We start from the raw sequence: 18,129 nt of genomic DNA on the forward strand, positions 1-18,129 counted from the left end.
GCAGTGGCACCATGTCGGCTCACTGCAACCTCCGTCTCCTGGGTTCAAGTCATCCCCTGCCTCAGCCTCCCGAGTAGCTGGGATTACAGGTGCCTGCCACCATGCCCGGCTGATTTTTGTGTTTTTAGTAGAGATGGGATTTCACTGTGTTGGCCTGGTATCAAATTCCTGACCTGACGTGATCCGCCCACCTCGGCCTCCCAAAGTGTTGGTATGACAGGTGTGAGCCACCGTGCCCGCCCTAGAGACCACCTTTTGATGCCTTGATATGAAATGAGAACATATATGTGGAAAGGTATAAAATTAAGAGACACCCTCGACCCTCACCTGAGTTACTGCTCCTAATAAATTCACGCATACCTGAGTGCTGTGTTTTCTAGCCTTCTGTGAGTGGGACAGGCAGGGTAGGGATGCTCGGACTGTCTGTGGTCTCTGATTTAGTCACTTCGAGGCTGCTGTGGGAGTTCCTCTGGGGTGTCCATTCACTGTCCCCTGTCTGCCTCCATTAGATCCCATCTCAGGCCCCTTCCAACTCTACACTTCTGACATTCACTGATGTGGGTGGAATGCTGCTTTGTAAAAATGGCGGTGCAAATGTGTGCTAATTACCTTGACATTTCCAAGCTGCTTGGTGCTCAGAACTCATACTTTAGGACATGAGGCTCACAATAGTGATCCACAGCTTGATCTCTTGGACCTGTGTGGTAAGAACCTCAGTTTACAGTGTTTAAAAATCAGATCTGTGTAAAAATGTGACTCCTGGCTTCTCTCAACAACTCAGGACTGGTGGCAGCCATGTCCCCGCATAGACAGTGGATTGGAGGCAGGGACTGCTCCTTAGCCGGGGTCCTCTCGTCCCACTGTACCCTGTGAGGACTTTGCTCCCTGGAGGCCCTGTCTGTATCCGCTTTTGGGATGCCTGCCTTAAGGATTCGTAGTACAAATCTTTATAAACGCTCACTGTGTGTGTTTGTGTTTGAGAGTGCGCACATGAACAAGAGAGAGAAAACCAAAAAATTACAAATCTGGAAAAGTTAATAAAGATCTAGAACCTTATCAAGATTTTGCAAGGGGTTTTTCTTCTGTACCTTGTGACTTTCTTCCATTTTCCATCCCATTCCCATGAGTGCCTCACATTTGTGTTTTCTGTTTTGAGATTATAATTATGTAGAAACCATAGTTCTAAAACTGGAAAGGGCCAGAATTTAATCACACTTTTGATTTTCCAAAAGAGGACAGAGAAAGACTGGGAGAACTGCCAGAGGCCACACCCTGGGAACTGGTGTGAGTCCTGAGGCTGTGCGCTGCCTCCCAGGAGCCGGGCTGGGCCTGGCACTGCCCGCTTGGGGGGACAGGCCTTCAAGCAAGCTGGACCAGGTGTGGGTCCTTGCCTGGCCACTTCCTGGCTGTGTGGCCTGAGGCAAGTCACTTCCCTTCTCCTGGTCTCTGTTGCCTCATTCAGACAGCAAGTGTAATCATGCTTGCTTCTCAGAAACCTTGTGAGAATTACATGAGATCGTGTATTTCAGGTGCCTCTCGCATTGCTGGGTGTGTATGAAACAGGCAGTGTGTGGTAACCACTGGCCATCTGAGCCCTGCGAAGGGGTCTTGGGACATTTTTTCCTCCTTTATCTTAACAAATTGAAAAGAATAGAAACTCTGGGTGGGCTAGGGGAGGAGGGTGGCAGGAGAGAGAAACAGAACGAAAAGTTAGAATGGGCCTGAGTAATTTAAAAGTTACATTTTAGAGCTCGATATAGTTTATCCTTTCTTTTGGAGATAAAAGGAAAGGGAGTGGGTAGGCAGACAAAGATATAAAAAGCAGGATGTTAAGTTTGAAAAATGATGATGTAGGTTAAGTCCATCCCTGTAGAGGAACATTCTTTATTTGTGCATGTGCCCTCATGAGCTCTGTCTTTAAAGATAGCTGAGTATGGGCCGCAGGGGAGTGTTTGTAAAGGCTCTTTGAGGTCTTTGGAAAAAGATGCTATATAAAGCCAGGGAGTTATTGCACAGATCTATGTATATATGTGAGAGAGTGTGTGTGCGCACACATGCGTCCACACGTCACCCTGTCTAGTCATCGCAGTCAGCAGTCTCTTCCCTTTTTAATTTTGAAAAGGCAGTTGAAGATCAATGAGTCTCAGGATAATTCCCCCCCTGGGGGCCTTTAGTGGCTGAAGAAGAGACGCCTCTCACCCCTCCCTTGGTGTCACTGTTTCATTGCTTTATATAGCAGCCTCCGAGGCCGTAATCATTTGTGTGAATGGGCCTGTGCGTCATCTGGCTGTGTGTCTGTGTTTATGTTTGGGTCCCTGGGGACTGGAGGCTGGTCCCTGCTCCACTGTTGTTTTTGAAATTGAGCATTCATGTGGTCACTGCCGAGAAAGGAGGGGAACGGTTTTGTAGGCTCGTCCTGTTTGAGGTCATGGTAATGATGTATGGGACCGTGTCCCCTCCTCCCCATGCCTGTCGCATTCCCGAGATGCATAATGGAAAAAGCTCAACGGGAGCCTGAATCTCTGTCACTGGGGCAAGAAATTACAGCTGTGAACCTGCTGGTTAGTGTTCTGTGCCGAGGCCTTGAACTTATGATTAACGTGGTTGACGTTTCTGTCCAGCTCATCCCATGCTCAGTTCCTGGAGCTGAGGGTGGCGTTTTAGCAGTGGGCGACTGTCAGTCATTCATTTGTTTATCAATTCACTTACGCATCTTACCTTTGATCATTCACCAGGTCTCACGTGTGTTCTGTGCTGGGCACTGGGGCCCCGGTACTCAAGTGACCCACAGGCTTGGGGGTGGGGCTTTGGTGGGCAGAGGTGCAGATGGGCACCTCTAGCCCAGGGGACAGTGTGCTTTCGTGGAGGTGCATATGAAGAGCAATGGGAATCACTGAACTCTACTTGGATTGTTTGGCTGTGAGGACACAGAACCCATGCCAATTTAGAACACAAGGGCACAGAACCCCATAGGGGCTCCCCCAGAGCCTGGGAGCCGAGAGTCCTGCAGAAGCCAGCATGGCCATTTGTGCATGACTGCTTTATTCCCTGTGGCCATGCGGTCACTGCAGGTCGGCCCGCACTTCTCCCGCTGGCCCTTGGGTAGCCGCCTTGGCTGTGGTGGTGCAGCAGGAGACGAAGGCAGGAATGAGGAGTTCACTGAGTCACCTTAGGCTACAGGGCTCTGTAGTAGCGCTTGACATTTCCAACACCTGCCGCTTTGCCAGACTCGGCACTTTCTCTGTGGCTGAGTGGGCTTGCCTTGAAGGGCTTTGCTGGCTCCCCTTTTTGGTGGCCCTCTGCCTTGTGGCTGCATCTGCATTTGTCTCTGTCCAGGCCTCTGTACATGGCGACAGAGGAGCCTCCAGCCAGGGGTCCTGGGCCCAGTTTAGGGTTTCATTTAAGGGTGGGTTTGTTTATTTATTCATTTATTGTTTATTTTTTGAGATGGAGTCTCACTCTGTTGCCAGGCTGGAATGCAGTGGCGCGATCTTGGCTCACTGCAACCTCCACCTCCCTGCAACCTCTGCCTCCCGGGTTCAAGTGATTCTCCTGCCTCAACCTCCCGAGTACCCAGGACTACAGGCACGCACCATCACGCCTGGCTAATTTTTGTGTTTTTAGTAGAGACGGGATTTCACCATGTTGGCTGGGATGGTCTTCATCTCCTGACCTGAAGTGATCTGCCTGCCTCAGCCTCCCAAAGTGCTGGCATCACAGGCGTGAGCCACTGTGCCCGGCCAGGATGGGTTTATTAAACTGGTCTTTTGAGCACTTGGCTTTCGGCAAGTCACTATTTCAGTGTGTCTCCACAGTCACCGTGGTGGAGTGACTTGGAACTCTTTGCTCTTGGGCCAGATGCCTCTGTCGCCACCTTCCTTCGCGTCTCTTGTCAGCCTGTGGCACATCTGAACTTCTGGAAGACTCTACATGATGGGCTTGGTTTGAGTCAGTAGGTACCCTTGGTCTCACTGATTACAAGTGGGGTGGGTGGGACTGGAGGCCTGTGGAGGCTGAGTCTCTGAGCGGAGGCAAGAGTAAGACAGGGCAGGCCCACGGACTCCCACGACTGCTATAGCCAGCAAGCCCCAGATGCTCAGAAAAGGCGCTCCCCAAGCAGAAGCTTGAAGGACAACCTGGAGTGAGGGAGGGGGCCAGGCCTTCCAGACACTGGGAAACAGCCTGTGCCAAGACACAGAGGCACGAGAGAAGGAGAGTGTGTTCAGTATGGTTGGAGTCTAACCAAGGGGGAGCAAAGGAGATGGGCAGAGGCTGGAGCGGCAGAGAGGACATGGGTCTGGAGCTCAGGAGAGGGCCTAGGTGGAGATGTGGGTGTGTGCAGGGTGGAAGCGGTGACTGAACCCTCGGCATAGATATAGCCTTATATTCACATAGCACCACTGAGGCCGGGCTCCAACTTTTTCATTGCCTATCATCTCTGTTATTAATAATTTAAAAAAAATTTTTTTTCTAGGCGGAGTCTCACTCTGTCACCCAGACTGGAGTGTGGTGGCATAATCTCGGCTCACTGCAATCTCTGCCTCCCAGGTTCAAGCAATTCTCCCGCCTCAGCCTCCCAAGTAGCTGGAATTAGAGGCGCCTGCCACCACACCCAGCTAATTTTTGTATTTTTAGTAGAGATGAGGTTTCACCATGTTGGCCAGGCTGGTCTTGAACTCCTGACCTCAAGTGATCTGCCTGCCTCAGCCTCCAAAGGGCTGGGATTACAGGCATGAGCCACCGTGCCCAGCCTAATTTTTAAAAAATTTTAACTATATGACAAAAATTGTATGTATTCAGGGCATACAACATGATGATTTGATGTATCTCTGTATTTCGTTATGACTACCACAATCAGATGAACATATACGCCACCTCCCCGAGTGAACATTTTTTTGTGTTAATGTGTGTGATGAGGACACTCAAAGTCTGCTCTCTCTTCAGATTTCAAGTAAACAGTACCATAGTATTGTTAGCCAGAGTCCCCGTTGCTGTCATGAGATCTGCAGAACTTACTCATCTTCTAACAGAAAATTATAAGAGGTACATTTTGGCCAACATCACCCATCTCTCTCACATCCTCATGTACATACATATACATATACATCATATACATATATATCATATACATATACATCATATACATAATACATATATATCATATACATATACATCTATGCAGGGGAATAATATTCAGCCGTAAAAAGAGAAGGAGTCTGAGGCAGCAGTGGCCCTCCTGCTGTTCCGTTTCTCTCCGTCTGCAGTGTCCTGTGTGGGTACAGCCAGCGGCCCCAACTGATTGGCACAGTGTCACAGCTGCTGCAGAGCTGCCTTCAGCCCTGAATGAAGAAGGCTGAGAGTGGGGCATGGAGGGAAGAACTTGCGATGTTCTCCTAAGATGGGCTGGCAAATGTTTTCTGGAAAGGGCTGGACAGTAGATATTTCAGGCTGTGTGGGCCCCATGGTCTCTGTCAAAACAACTCATCAAAGCAGACTTGAACAGTACAGAAGTGGGTGGGTGTGGCCGTGTTTGGGGAAAGCTTTACTGGTCCCTGCTTTATCCTATGAGGTTGGTGATACCAGCAACCTTTTCCAGTGGAAGGAGCTGAGAAGCAAGGATGATATCATTTGCTGGGATCTCAAACCGAAGTGTGAGGGACATGATATTCAAAGGTAGATCTGATTAGAAAACTGGTGTTCAAGCCCGGGCGCGGGGGCTCACGCCTGTAATCCCAGCACTTTGGGAGGCCGAGGCATGTGGATCATGAGGTCAGGAGTTCAAGACCAACCTGGCCAACATGGTGAAACCCCATCTCTACTAAAAATACAAAAATTAGCCAGGCGTGGTGGCAGGCGCCTGTAATCTCAGGTACGTGGGAGACTGAGGCAGGAGAATCACTTGAACCCTGGAGGCAGAGATTGCAGTGAGCCGAGATCATACCACTGCACTCCATCCTGGGTGACAGAGTGGGACTCCGTCTCAAAAAAAAAAAAAAACTGATATTCTTTCTACACTGCCAGTTTACTGCCCTGAGGAGCTTAAAGTTCCACAAACAATGGACCAGTTTTTTCTTGCGTGTGTGTTAGATGTGCCCTTGATGTGCAGATACTATAGCAAAATTATTATTTCCTTAGCGGAGTTGGTCTTTTGTTTCATGTTAAGAAAGATGGCATATATGTTTGTTCAGATACTTATGTAGTTTTTATTGCTTCATTTCACATATTTAAACATTATTGTACCAGAAATGTATTTCAGTACATTACAGGAGCAGAGATTCATTGAAATCTGGTGTCTTACTTCCTAAATGGTTCCTTGCTCAGCTGCATTTGTGGATGAATCCATCCTGTCCACAGCATTTTCAATGCTGCTTTTTATCTTAGATCAGTTTCCATTGGTTGAAATTGACATTCCCCTGTGCTCTTGCCTGGTTTTGTGGTTCTGTCTTCTGAAGCCAAGCAAGGAACCAATGTTGAGATGGATGGTTGTTTGCCTTTCAGCGGTAGGAGAGGGGACCCCGCAGCATGGCCAGGCTCTGCAGAGGCCACAGTGCAGGAGCGCTGCTCTGTTTCACTCGAAATGTGAGCTGTGGCAGGTCATAAAGAGGAAGGAAATCACAATGATAGAGACTAAACAAATCATGGGCTGCGCGGCTCAGGGGAGAGGAGAGAAAATTACATGTTCGGGAGCTCCTCTGCTCGTGTGTGTCACTCGTACTTGGCGAAGTATAATATTTACCTGATCTGTGGAAATCACCCCGATGTTACCTACCAGCTTTACTGCCCAAAAAGAGTCACAAAACAGCCAATGAGGCAGCGAAAGTGAATGTGTGTTCAGGTTCAAGCCCGTTGAAAGAACATTTTGGGGGGCATGCCAGCTCTCGGTCCCTTTCTTTCTTCTCCACCGTTAACCTGAACATGATGTCATAGCTGTGTGGGGAAGGCGGAAGGTCTGACAGCTCGTCTTTCTATGATGGATTTTTAAAAGATTCCCACTACCAGAGTACTGCTTTGGCTGCACTTGTGATATCAGTCATTTTGATGTTGATAAAAACACAGGTGCCTCGTCCAAGAGGCTGGAGATGCACGGTGTATGGGACCTGGGAGGGTAGGGAAGGGTGAGGCTAGGGTGATACAGTGGATCGGGTCGGCATCCATCGTCCTCTGTTTCTCACAGGTGGTTGCTATGCAGTGATTTGGGCTCCTGCAAGGGGGGCTTGTGGCTGAGATCTCTCTTTTTTTTTTTTTTTTTTTTTTTTTTTTTTTTTTTTGAGATGAGGTCTCACTATGTCGACCAGGCTGGTCCTGAACTCCTGGGCTCAAATGAACTCCTACCTTGGTCTCCCACAGTGTTGGGACTGCAAGCATGAGCCACCGTGCCCGGCCTACATCTCTTAAGGCTACTTGAGGCAGTACTTGCCAGGCAAGCATTGCTGTCTCTCAAACTTCCTGGGAAACAGTTTTTTCCTCCTAGAATTTCCTCCTGGAATATAACATTTTCAGCTATGAGGTCTGAGTAGCAGCACTGGGGACCCCCTTCTCCCATGCCTGCAAGGCCCAGAACCCAGATACCTGCTCTTCCAAATGCCACATCGCTGTCTGGGGCTGATTTCCCATATTGCCGGTGGTGATCTTGTTTCACACTTCAGAAAATTCTACTATCTAGTCTGCTGCTCTAGGGCATAGATCATTTAAAAAATCTTTTTTATTTCTCAAGGTTGAGGTATACAGGAGCTCAGTAAATCCCCTAACTCTTGAAAATATGCCCAGTTTAACCCACTTGGGCTTGTGAACCATACGGCTACCTTATCTCCATCTTCCTATCTTCTGCTGTTGCATTTCTGCAAAGACTTGTAGTGATACTGATCAGTAGTACTTGCTAAATGCTATTCTGTGCTGGGCACCATTCCTAAGCATCTCACTTACATATTGTCTTACTGAATTCTTACAACACTTCTAGGAGATAGTAACTGTTAAGATCTCATTTTATAGATAAGGGAGGTGGTGCTCAGAGGGGGTTGCTAACTTGCCCGAGCTGCAGAGGCAGGATTTGAACCTGGGACCTGACTTCAGAGACTGTGCTCTAAAATCCAGGACCCTGATCAGCCGAGTCTCTTAGACTGTTATAGGAGTTATTTTTGAAAGGGAAAAGGGAACTTATCTAGACAAGTCATCCTTAATAGCATATAATCCAGAGAGGTGAGGGCATGCTGTAACAGGCAAGACCTGCCAATTAATCTTGACTTTGTTTTCTTCCCTTAGGTGAACTGCGCCAGGCCACTGTGGCCATGATGAACAGGAAGGATGAGCTGGAGGAGGAGAACAGGTACCGTGATTTTCAGGCTTGAGGAATAGCCTCTTTCTTTGACATTCTGCCTCTGGGGAAGACAGAATATAACAGATGAGGGACATTTTGCTTTCTTGGCAAAAATTGTGACTGGCTATTTCTTATCGTCAGGGATATGCCACTGTGGTATCTCTCTTTACTGTGGTATCTCTCTTTTGCCTGATATGTAAGAAAGAAGTGAGAACCTTATGATAATGGCACCTTCATAGAACAAGCTAAGAATTTGGTAGAGTGATCATTAATTCTTTTTTAAAAAACAGCCTTTATTGATATTTAATTCACATACACTATAATTCACTCATTTAAAGTGTATGGCCAAGGCAGGTGGATCACAAGGTCAGGAGTTCAAGACCAGCCTTGGTGAAACCCCGTCTCTACTAAAAATACAAAAATTAGCTGGGCGTGGTGCTGCGTGCCTGTAATCCCAGCTACTCAGGAGGCTGAGGCAGGAGAATTGCTTGAACCCGGGAGGCGGAGGTTGCAGTGAGCCGAGATTACGCCATTGCACTCCAGCCTGGGTGACAGAGCGAGCCTCTGTCTCAAAAAAAAAAAATAAAATAAAATAAAAAAATAAATGAAGTGTGTAATTCAGTAGTTTTTACTATATTCACAGGAGTTAACATCAACACAGTCAATTTTAGAACATTTCATCACCCCCGAAAGAAGTCCTATACCCTTTAATTATCACCTCCTTAGCCTAGGCAGTCTTTTTTTTTTTTTTTTGAGATAGTTCTGGCTCTGTCACCCAGGCTGGAATGCAGTGGCGCGATCTCTGCTCACTGCAACCTCCACCTCCCGGGCTCAAGTGATCCTCCAGCGTCAGCCTTCTGAGTGGCTGAGACTACAGGCGCATGCCACCATGCCCGGCTAATTTTGGTATTTTTAGTAGAGTTGGGGTTTTGACAGGTTGCCTAGGCTGGTCTTGAACTTCTGAGCTTCAGTAATCTGCCCACCTTGGCCTCCCAAAGTGCTAAGATTATAGACGTGAGCCACTGTGCCTGGCCTCTAGGCAGCTGTTAGTCATCATTAATCAAAGGCCTGTCTATCTACCATGTTGCAGGCATCTGAGCACTTATCTTAAAGTTTGCCCAAATCAGGGATACTTAGGGCAAGATGAAATTCTGGCTCCCATCTGACTTATCTTGACTGTGGGGTGGTCATAGAGGGCTTACCTGCAGTTACCCCCTGAACTTCTGCAAGCATGATTCAACTGCCTCCCTGGGACGTGGGGAGAGGGGGGTGTGTGTTCACGTCACCCTTTCTTACTCACACGCTCTTTTACACACAGTCATGATTCTCCTTCAAACCTCATTTTTGGTCCTGCTTGACAAGCTTCTCTCTTGTCCTTTCTGGAAACATATAAAAGCAAACAAACATGATTTCTAAAACAAAAGAGGATGTCTTCAAAAGGAATCTTTAGACCGCACCATTTTCCAAGTAGAATAAACTTTCAATAGAGGGCTTGCGCCATTGAGGGATTCTTTGTCCATGCTCCAGCTGGGGCTGTTATCTTGGAAGAAGCCATAGATTTTGTCTTACCTTGTGAAGAACAATAGTCACTGTCTGTTACTTTTTTGTACTTCCCAGAAAGAAAAGAAAAATTATACCATGTTTTTGTCAGGGAGCCCCAGGCCCCAAGAGGGGAATTTCCTCAAAGCTCTCAAGGAACACAAGTCTTGGAGATTTCAGTGAATGATCAGAGTGTGGTGGGGGTCAGATGTTTTTGATTATATTCTTTTTTTTTTTTTTTTTTGAGACGGAGTCTTGTTCTTTCTCCCAGGCTGGAGTGCAGTGGTGTGATCTCGGCTCACTGCAACCTCTGCCTCCCGGGTTCAAGCAATTCTCCTGCCTCAGCCCCCCGAATAGCTGGCATTACAGGTGTGTACTACCACACCTGAGTAATTTTTGTATTTTTAGTAGAGATAGGGTTTCATCATGTTGGCCAGGCTGGTCTCAAACTCCTGACCTCAAGTGATCCACCCGCCTTGGCCTCCCTAAGTGCTGGATTACAGGCGTGAGCCACCCTGCCCGGCCTTGTTTTTGCTTATATCCTGATGTCACGTGGCAAGTGTCCTCTGGATTTAGTATGTAGATGTACCATGGTTGGTAATTGTTTTCCAGAAACAGCCAGGTAGAATGAAGTAAATGGTTAGCAGCACCATGGTTGGCTCTCTCCTAGGCGGTCACTGGTGATGGTTTCTAGAAGACCTGCTGTCTTCTCCTTTATTTAAGACCAGGGATGACAAATACACAGGTGAATCCTGTGCTGGCTGCCAGCCCCCTGTTGGAGGGTTAACAAACTTGGGAATGTAAAATGCTATCTCTGCTATCTCAGATGCTTTAGTGATATAAGATATTTTTTATATATGCTTGTTTCACCTGAAGTTGGCAATGAAACAGGCTCATAGTGTGTTTTATAGGCACAGGTGGAAATGAGACTAGACGTTTATGAGATAATCTGAGTATATATTCTATTTTTATGCCTCAGATTATTGTTTTGGCCTCTCCTGGCATCCTTTCCTTGGTTAAATCTCTGACCTGGTGTAGCTGTGACAAAATGGTCTCATTGTAATGTGCTACACCTTTGAGTGGGGTATCTGTAAAGGGACTTGGCTGGAATTTGCTCACCTCATTGTTTTCCCTTGATTTAAGCTGTCAGAAGGCTGGCCTGCTCGCAGGCAATCAGGGACATGGAGCCCAGGCCATAGATGACTGTCCCTTAATTCTTACTCTAAGGCTATCAATTAGAGTTTGCTATCTCCAGTTCACATGAGATAGACTTGAATTATGGTTTATGCAGAGCCTTGTGGAAAACGCATGGCTTAGGACTTGACTTATGTTAGGAACTGTGTCCTGGGCTCAGTGGGGTCTGGGTTGACAGCTTCTGAACAGATGGGTCCCTCTCTTCCCAGATCACTGCGAAACCTGCTCGACGGTGAGATGGAGCACTCAGCCGCGCTCCGGCAAGAGGTGGACACCTTGAAAAGGAAGGTGGCTGAACAGGAGGAGCGGCAGGGCATGAAGGTCCAGGCGCTGGCCAGGTAGGAGAGGGTGAGGGATGGAGAGGTAAGCACGTGGGGGCTTCATTAAAACCTGAGCATACTGGGCCGGGCACGGTGGCTCATGCCTGTAATCCCAGCACTTTGGGAGGCCAAGGCGGGTGGATCATAAGGTCAGGAGATCGAGACCATCCTGGCTAACACAGTGAAACCCCGTCTCTACTAAAAATACAAAAAATTAGCTGGGTGTGGTGGCGGGTGCCTGTAGTCCCAGCTACTTGGGAGGCTGAGGCAGGAGAATTGCTTGAACCCGGGAGGCAGAGGTTGCAGTGAGCCGAAATCACACCACTGCATTCCAGCCTGGGTGACAGAGCAAGACTCTGTCTCAAAAACAAAAACAAACAACAACCAACCAAACAACAACAAAAAAAAACCTGAGCACACGTTCACCTGGACTTTTTAGTTAAAAAAAAAAAAAAGCCGGGCATGATGGCTGACACCTGTAATCCCAACACTTTGGGAGGCCGAGGTGGGTGGATCACGAGGTCAGGAGATCGAGACCATCCTGGCTAACACGGTGAAACCCCGTCTCTACTAAAAATACAAAAATTAGCCGGGAGTGGTGACGGACGCCTGTAGTCCCAGCTACGCGGGAGGCTGAGGCAGGAGAATGGCGTGAACCTGGGAGGTGGAGCTTGCAGTGAGCTGAGATCACGCCACTGCACTCCAGCCTGGGCGACAGAGCGAGACTCCGTCTCAAAAAAAAAAAAAAAAAAAAAAAAGATAGCGACTAAAGCAAAAAAAGTGTGTATTTTAATTTAACTTATTTCATTGAGTAAATAGTATATATGCACGTGGTTCAAAATACAAAAGGTGAACCTGTGCAAGTCCCCTTCTCTTATCCCAGCCACCCAGTTTGCTCCCTAGAGGGGGTCATTGTTACTGTTCCCAGAGATATTCCCTGTACACACAAGCAGATAGGTGTGCATATACTTTTTTTCCTTTTCTTTCCCTTCTCCTCCTCTCTTTCTTCCTTAATGTGAAGTGGTAGCCTGTCCTATGCAGCATTCACTTGACATCTCAGAGATTGCTCTCGTTGGTCTGCGTGGGGCTGCCCTCTGCTTTTTAAGAGCTCCTGACATTTCCTTGTCTGACTGCATCAGAATTCGTTTAACCAGCCTGCTGACAGCGAGGCACCGAGATGGTTTCCAGTCTTTTGCTGCTACTAATAATGCCACAGTGAACAACCTTTGCATTGGTTGTTTTTTTCCTGTATGAGTATATATTTTGGAAATATTCCTGGAAGTAGGATTGCTGGGTCAAAGTGCAGCGCATTTGTAAGTCGGACAGGGACCATCAACTCGCCTGGCACGGGTGTGAGCCGCATGTTCTGCAGCAGTGTGGGAGAGGGCCTGCTGCGACGCAGCTGTGCTCTCACAGCCATGGGATCCAACTTCTGGGTCTCTGATAATGCCAGGGGTGGAAATGGTGCTGGCAGAAAATTTTTCATTACCATTTCTCTAATTAAGAGTATGGTTGAGCCTCCTTTTATTTAAAAGCCATTTTATTTCCTTTTCTGTCACTTTGTTTATATACTATTAAAGAAAGCTGCAAAGTAAACCACCCCAGATCCCAACTTACATGCATCTTTACTGAATTTGTTCATATACTAACATTTTTCTTTAACTATACATGTAATCTATGCCTGTGATTGTTTAGTCTACCTTCTAGCACTGCTTAGGAGTGCAAAAGCAGCTTTTATTGTTTCCATATAGGCCTCATGTTAACCATTTTTATGTACCTGGATGTGGTATTTGATTGAGTGAACCCGCCATATTAAATTGCCCATTCCAGATTGGAATGATGAATTTAATATGGTCAATTTAGCATTCAGGTTGTTTCCAGTTTGTCCTCATTTTAGGAAAGATAAGCAGTTTATTGCTTGTTCTGTAAATCTACTTTAAAATAAGACCACGAGATAAACACGTCTTGTGGATGTGCAAGGGAGCCCAGAGTTAAGTCAGTTTATAGCAGCAGCATTTACCTCTCTGTGCTGTTAGATGCTGTGAATGGCTCTAATGTAATTGTTTTGTATGTCTTATTGAATGTTGGCGCTATGATCCTATGTTGGATTTCCAATCTTTGAGCTTTTCCCCTTTCGTCACATTTTAAAATGATAGCTCAAGAGCATCAAAGACAGTTTAATGACTGTTATAAATAGTGTAAAATGTGCCTAGTTCGGCATTTTCTCACCTGGACCACCCTTTTGCCTGGCCATGCTAGAGTTTTGCCGCATAATTGCATTTAATGTTCACAATAAAGTCTGAAGTCTTTAGAGGTTCTGGTTCTTAGTCAGCAAAGAGAGACAGAATTATATGCCCTGTCTTTTTTTTTTTTTTGGATGGATTCTTGCCCTGTCGTGCCCAGGCTGGAGTGCAGTGGCATGATCTCGGCTCACTGCAACCTCTGCCTCCCGGGTTCAGGTGATTCTCCGGCCTCAACCTCCCAAGTAGCTGGTATTACAGGTGCCCGCCACTATGCCCGGCTAATTTTTTATATTTTTAGTAGAGATGGGGTTTCACTATGTTGGCCAGGCTGGTCTTGAGCTCCTGACCTCAGGTGATCCTCCTGCCTCAGCCTTCCAAAGTGCTTGGATTACAGGCGTGAGCCACCATGCCTGGCCTCCGTGTCATTTAATGGCTTGTATTAGCAGTCAGCGTAGTCTTGAGTCTTTGCATCATTACTTGCAAATTGTGTGTTTCTGGGTGAATTGCTCAACTTCTGCACATATGTGCTTCCTCATCTCAGGGATGGAGAGGATGATCTCATCTAGCTGAAGGGGCTGAATGAGGAGGAAAAGATGTGAGGGTGCATATGGCAGTGGACATGAGTGAGGCGTCTTAAGTGTATTCCACAGGAAGCGTGTTTTAGTGCATGACAATTGTTGGGAAAATTTTATCCCATAGATGGGGTAGATAAAATCAATGTCCTAACCAGGCAGTTTTATAATCCCTATTTAAGCAGTGGGTTGCTAAGAGTTTAAGGTGTCTGAAAGTTTGCAGTCTGTAGGCAGAAGGAACAGATATCTGTAAAACAGACCAGTATTTCAAAAGGAAAAACTAGAAGCAGGGAAACCGATCAGCTGGGTATGTAAGTTTTGAAAAATTCCATTGCTGACATGTTCCAGATAGAGTTAACCTCTGCCAGTGGTCAGAACTTTCTTCTTGCTTCTGGCCAGAGTAAAAGCAACTGTCAGTGTTGGCTGACAGTGGCTTGCTCGGGCAGTTGTTGCCTGGGGGTGGGGATGCCGTAGCTGCTGGGGCACAGGGCAGGGCAGTGGAGTGTCGCAGGCTGGAAGGTGAGGCTCATTGCGCCGGCGCCATGCTTTCCTCAGGTGTGTGTGTGTTTAGGTGCAGGTTTCACAGTGCAGGTGGATACAGCTAGGGCTTTATGGTCCAGGTGCCTGCCTTGTACTGACGGGGTCAGACCATGGCTCTCCTGCTTACTAGTTGTGTGACCTTGGATGAATTACTTAACTTCTCTGTTTCTGTTTCCTTAGTGTGGGTTTTTTTTTTTTTTTTTTTTTTTTTTTAAGATAGTATCTCACTCTGTCACCCAGGCTGGAGTGCAGTGATGCGATCTCAGCTCACTGCATCCTCCGCCTCCTGGGCTCAAGCAATTCTCCCACTTCAGCCTCTGAGTAGCTGGGACTACAGGCATGCACCACCATAGCCAGCTAATTTTTGTATCTTTTTGTACAGACGGGGTTTTGCCATGTTGCCCAGGCTGGTTTCAAACTCCTGGGCTCAAGTGATCTACCCACCTAGGCCTCCTGAAGTGCTAGGATTACAGGCATGAGCCACTGCTCTTGGCATGTTTCCTTAGTTTTAAAATGGTAATAAGTAAACTCTTTACCTCATAGAGTTTTGTTGAATAAATAAAACGAGAGACCATGTATTGGCTCAATGTGCTTGATAAATACTCAGTAAATGTTAACTATCATTATCGTTTTTCTTAAATATAATAATTATGGCACCTTACTTCATCAAAAGTTCTATTTTAACAGCGATAGTGCAGAAAGAATTAGGAGCTAGTCTATCTCCTACTCAGAAAAGTGAGATATTCGAATGCTAAGTATGCGCTTGTGTATATGTGTGTTTCACTGGCTCTGAGTTCATGGTTGTAAAACTGAGCATCACTGAGCAAACCCAGCATTTGATTACACATTCCTTTTGCTAAGAATTACTGGCTTTCCTAGAACAAGGTCATGTAACTAGCCTGGTGCTTTTTGGCCCTGGGCAGCTGCGAGTTCCTGAGGCAGAGGCATAATAATCATTTGCAATTAAGGCTCTGTAAGTCACATTCCTTGAAATAATCGATTGCCTTGTTTCCTTTTGAATTAAGAAAGCTCAAGCTATGAGACATATGTTAAAAAAGACACACATTTACAGGAGGAAAAGTGGCTTTGAAGGAAGCAAGTAAATGGGTTCTTGAATTATTGTGGGGGGTCATTTTCCAATTCTTGTCATCGTATTATGGCAGTGTTAGCTCTTGCTGTGTAACAAATTATCCTCAAACTTGGTTGCTGAGAACAACAAATATTTATGATTCCCCACAATTTCTGTGAATTAGGACTCTGAGGATGGCTTAGCCAGGGCATCAGGGTCTCTCATGAGGTTGCAGTCAAGCTGTTGGCCAGAGTTGCTGTCATCTGAAGGCTTGACTGGGGATGGAGGGTCCACTTGCAAGCTTCATCCTGTGGCTGTTGGCAGGAGGCTTCAGCTCGTTGCCACGTGGGCCTCTCCGTGGGGCTGCTCCCAACACAGTAGCTGACTTCCCAGGGTGCGTAACCCAGGAGCAGGAGAAGAGAGCGCACCCAAGATGGAAGCCACCATGTTTTTAACAACTTGGCCTTGGAGGTGACACATGATTGCTTCTGCTATATTCTGTAGTCACAGTCAACCTTGGTTCAGTGTTGAGGGAAACACACAGTGGTGTGACTAGCAGGAGGCAGGGGTCACTGAGGCCACCTTGAAGGCTGCCTGCTACACTCATCAGGTATCTGCTTCCTCCTGGGGCAGATACTACTTGTATTAATGTTAGGGTCATCCAGAGAAACAGACCAATAGGATGTATGTATATCTCTAGAAAGGGGTTTATCGTAAGGTATTGGCTCATATAATTATGGGGGCCAAGAAGTCTCACAAGCTGCCCTCTGCAGGCTGGAGAGCCAGAAAAGCTCATGGTGTAGTTCAAAGGCCCAAGAGCCAGAGAACCTGTGGTGTAGGTTCCAGTCTGAGTCTGAAGGCATGAGAGCCAGGAGTGCCGAGGGCAGGGGAAGAGCCATGTCCCAGCTCAAGCATAGGCAGGGAGAGAACTCACCTTCTTTTTCTTCTACTCAGGCCCTGCTTGGAATGGATGATGCTTGCCCACATTGGTGAGGGCCATTTGTTTCACTCAGTCCACAAATTCACATGCTAATCTCTTCCAGAAACATCATCACAGGCACACTGAGAAATTGTGTTGATCTAGCTATCTGGGCATCCGGTGGCCCACACACATGGATATGCAAAATTAACCATCACACTCCCCCAATTTTCCTTGGTGGATCTTTGCTCCTTCCTTTGTGTCCATGTGGTTTGATGGGGCTGTCCCTGCCCTCTGCCCCTACAGGGCTCCAGAGGATGGCAGCCCACCCAGGCCTGGACAGTTGGGTTGCTCCATCCATGAGGGCTTTACAGGAGGGCATGTGACCAGGATGGTCTGATAAGAGCCAGTTACTGCATTCTTGAGAGGATGGTGCCAGCCAGTTCTCTTTGCTATTTTGTTGGCAGCTATCTTTGCTATTTTGTGAGGAGATTCTAACCCCACGTGAGAACCATGTGGTGGAGAAATGGAGGGAGAGAGAAATCAACAGTTCCTGATAGTCTCATTTGAGCTCCTGGATCCAGTCTTTCCTGAAGCTGTGTTTCCTCTGGACTTTTCATGTATGTGAGCCAATAAATTGCTTTCATTCCTTGAGCCATTTGTGGTGGTTTTTCTCCATTATACTCATAAGAGTCCTGACTGAAGAGGCCTCTTGTTTGGTTATTAGAGATTGGAGCACGTGTATTTTCTCTGCACCTAAGTAGACATGTCATCTCAACAATCAACCTGCCAGGTCCAGGAAGGGGCTTCTGGTTGGTTGAGAGTCACCAAGGTGGTGGAGAAAGTGTTCCTCGGGGGGAGCCCCTTGGACTGCTTCTCAGAGCACCGCTCCAGACTTCCCTTCGTGTATGTCACTGGGACCGGCCTCGCAGTTACTCTTCTGTCGTGACTCAGAGTGCCGCTGCAGACTTCGCTTCTTGTGTCTCACTGGGGCCAGCCTTGCGGTTACTCTCCTGTTGTGACTTTTCCCTCCTTCTGTGCAGTTCTGCTGCACTCACATGAACATGTTGTCAGTGGTATGGCCGGGGCCATTCTCTTCATGCTTCTGAGCCTCTCTGGTTCTTTAACTATTTAGAAACTTAAAGTGGGGCTGGGGTGGCATGGAACACTCTCCCTCCTTCCTCCCGTGCAGTGGCATAAAGCACCCTGTTGATGCGTCACGGTCACTGCTGGCTTTGGAGGGCCGTGTCCGACCCTTACCTAGGGAAGCAGCACAGCACAGTGATTCTGGTCTTGGCTCTGCCACTTGGTAACTTCTTAATTCTCAGTTTCCCCACTGATGCTAACATGCCTTTGATGGCAGAAACCCACACCAAATTAGCTTGGGTCACCAGGGGATTTTTTTCTTGCAGTAGCTGG

General features: G+C 47.1%; 1 protein-coding gene across 23 annotated transcripts in view, besides 1 other annotated feature; it reads left to right on the forward strand.

The window, feature by feature from the left end:
- Positions 1-18,129, forward strand: part of SNX29 (sorting nexin 29) — a 597,554-nt gene that overhangs the window by 141,640 nt on the left and 437,785 nt on the right. For 21 of the 23 annotated variants that reach the window (XR_001752024.3, NM_032167.5, XM_017023874.2 and 18 more), the window contains 2 exons: positions 8,260-8,323; positions 11,257-11,385. Coding sequence is in view for 22 of the 23 variants with exons in the window: in NM_032167.5 (NP_115543.3) it covers positions 8,260-8,323; positions 11,257-11,385 (193 nt within the window). In the remaining variant the exon portion in view is untranslated. Of the gene's footprint in view, positions 1-8,259; positions 8,324-11,256; positions 11,386-17,177; positions 17,365-18,129 lie in introns of those variants that run through there. The other 2 variants (NM_001376490.1, XM_005255683.5) reach the window with 1 other exon arrangement.
- Positions 2,855-3,354: an enhancer, noted in NCBI's record as "H3K4me1 hESC enhancer chr16:12215085-12215584 (GRCh37/hg19 assembly coordinates)". NCBI's record gives its function as "activates a minimal SCP1, AML or CMV promoter by ChIP-STARR-seq in primed H9 embryonic stem cells {active_cell/tissue: H9 hESC(primed)}" and the evidence as "EXISTENCE:reporter gene assay evidence [ECO:0000049][PMID:30033119]".

Source organism: Homo sapiens, chromosome 16, assembly GCF_000001405.40.
Source record: "Homo sapiens chromosome 16, GRCh38.p14 Primary Assembly".
NCBI classification, from domain to species: Eukaryota; Metazoa; Chordata; class Mammalia; order Primates; family Hominidae; genus Homo; species Homo sapiens.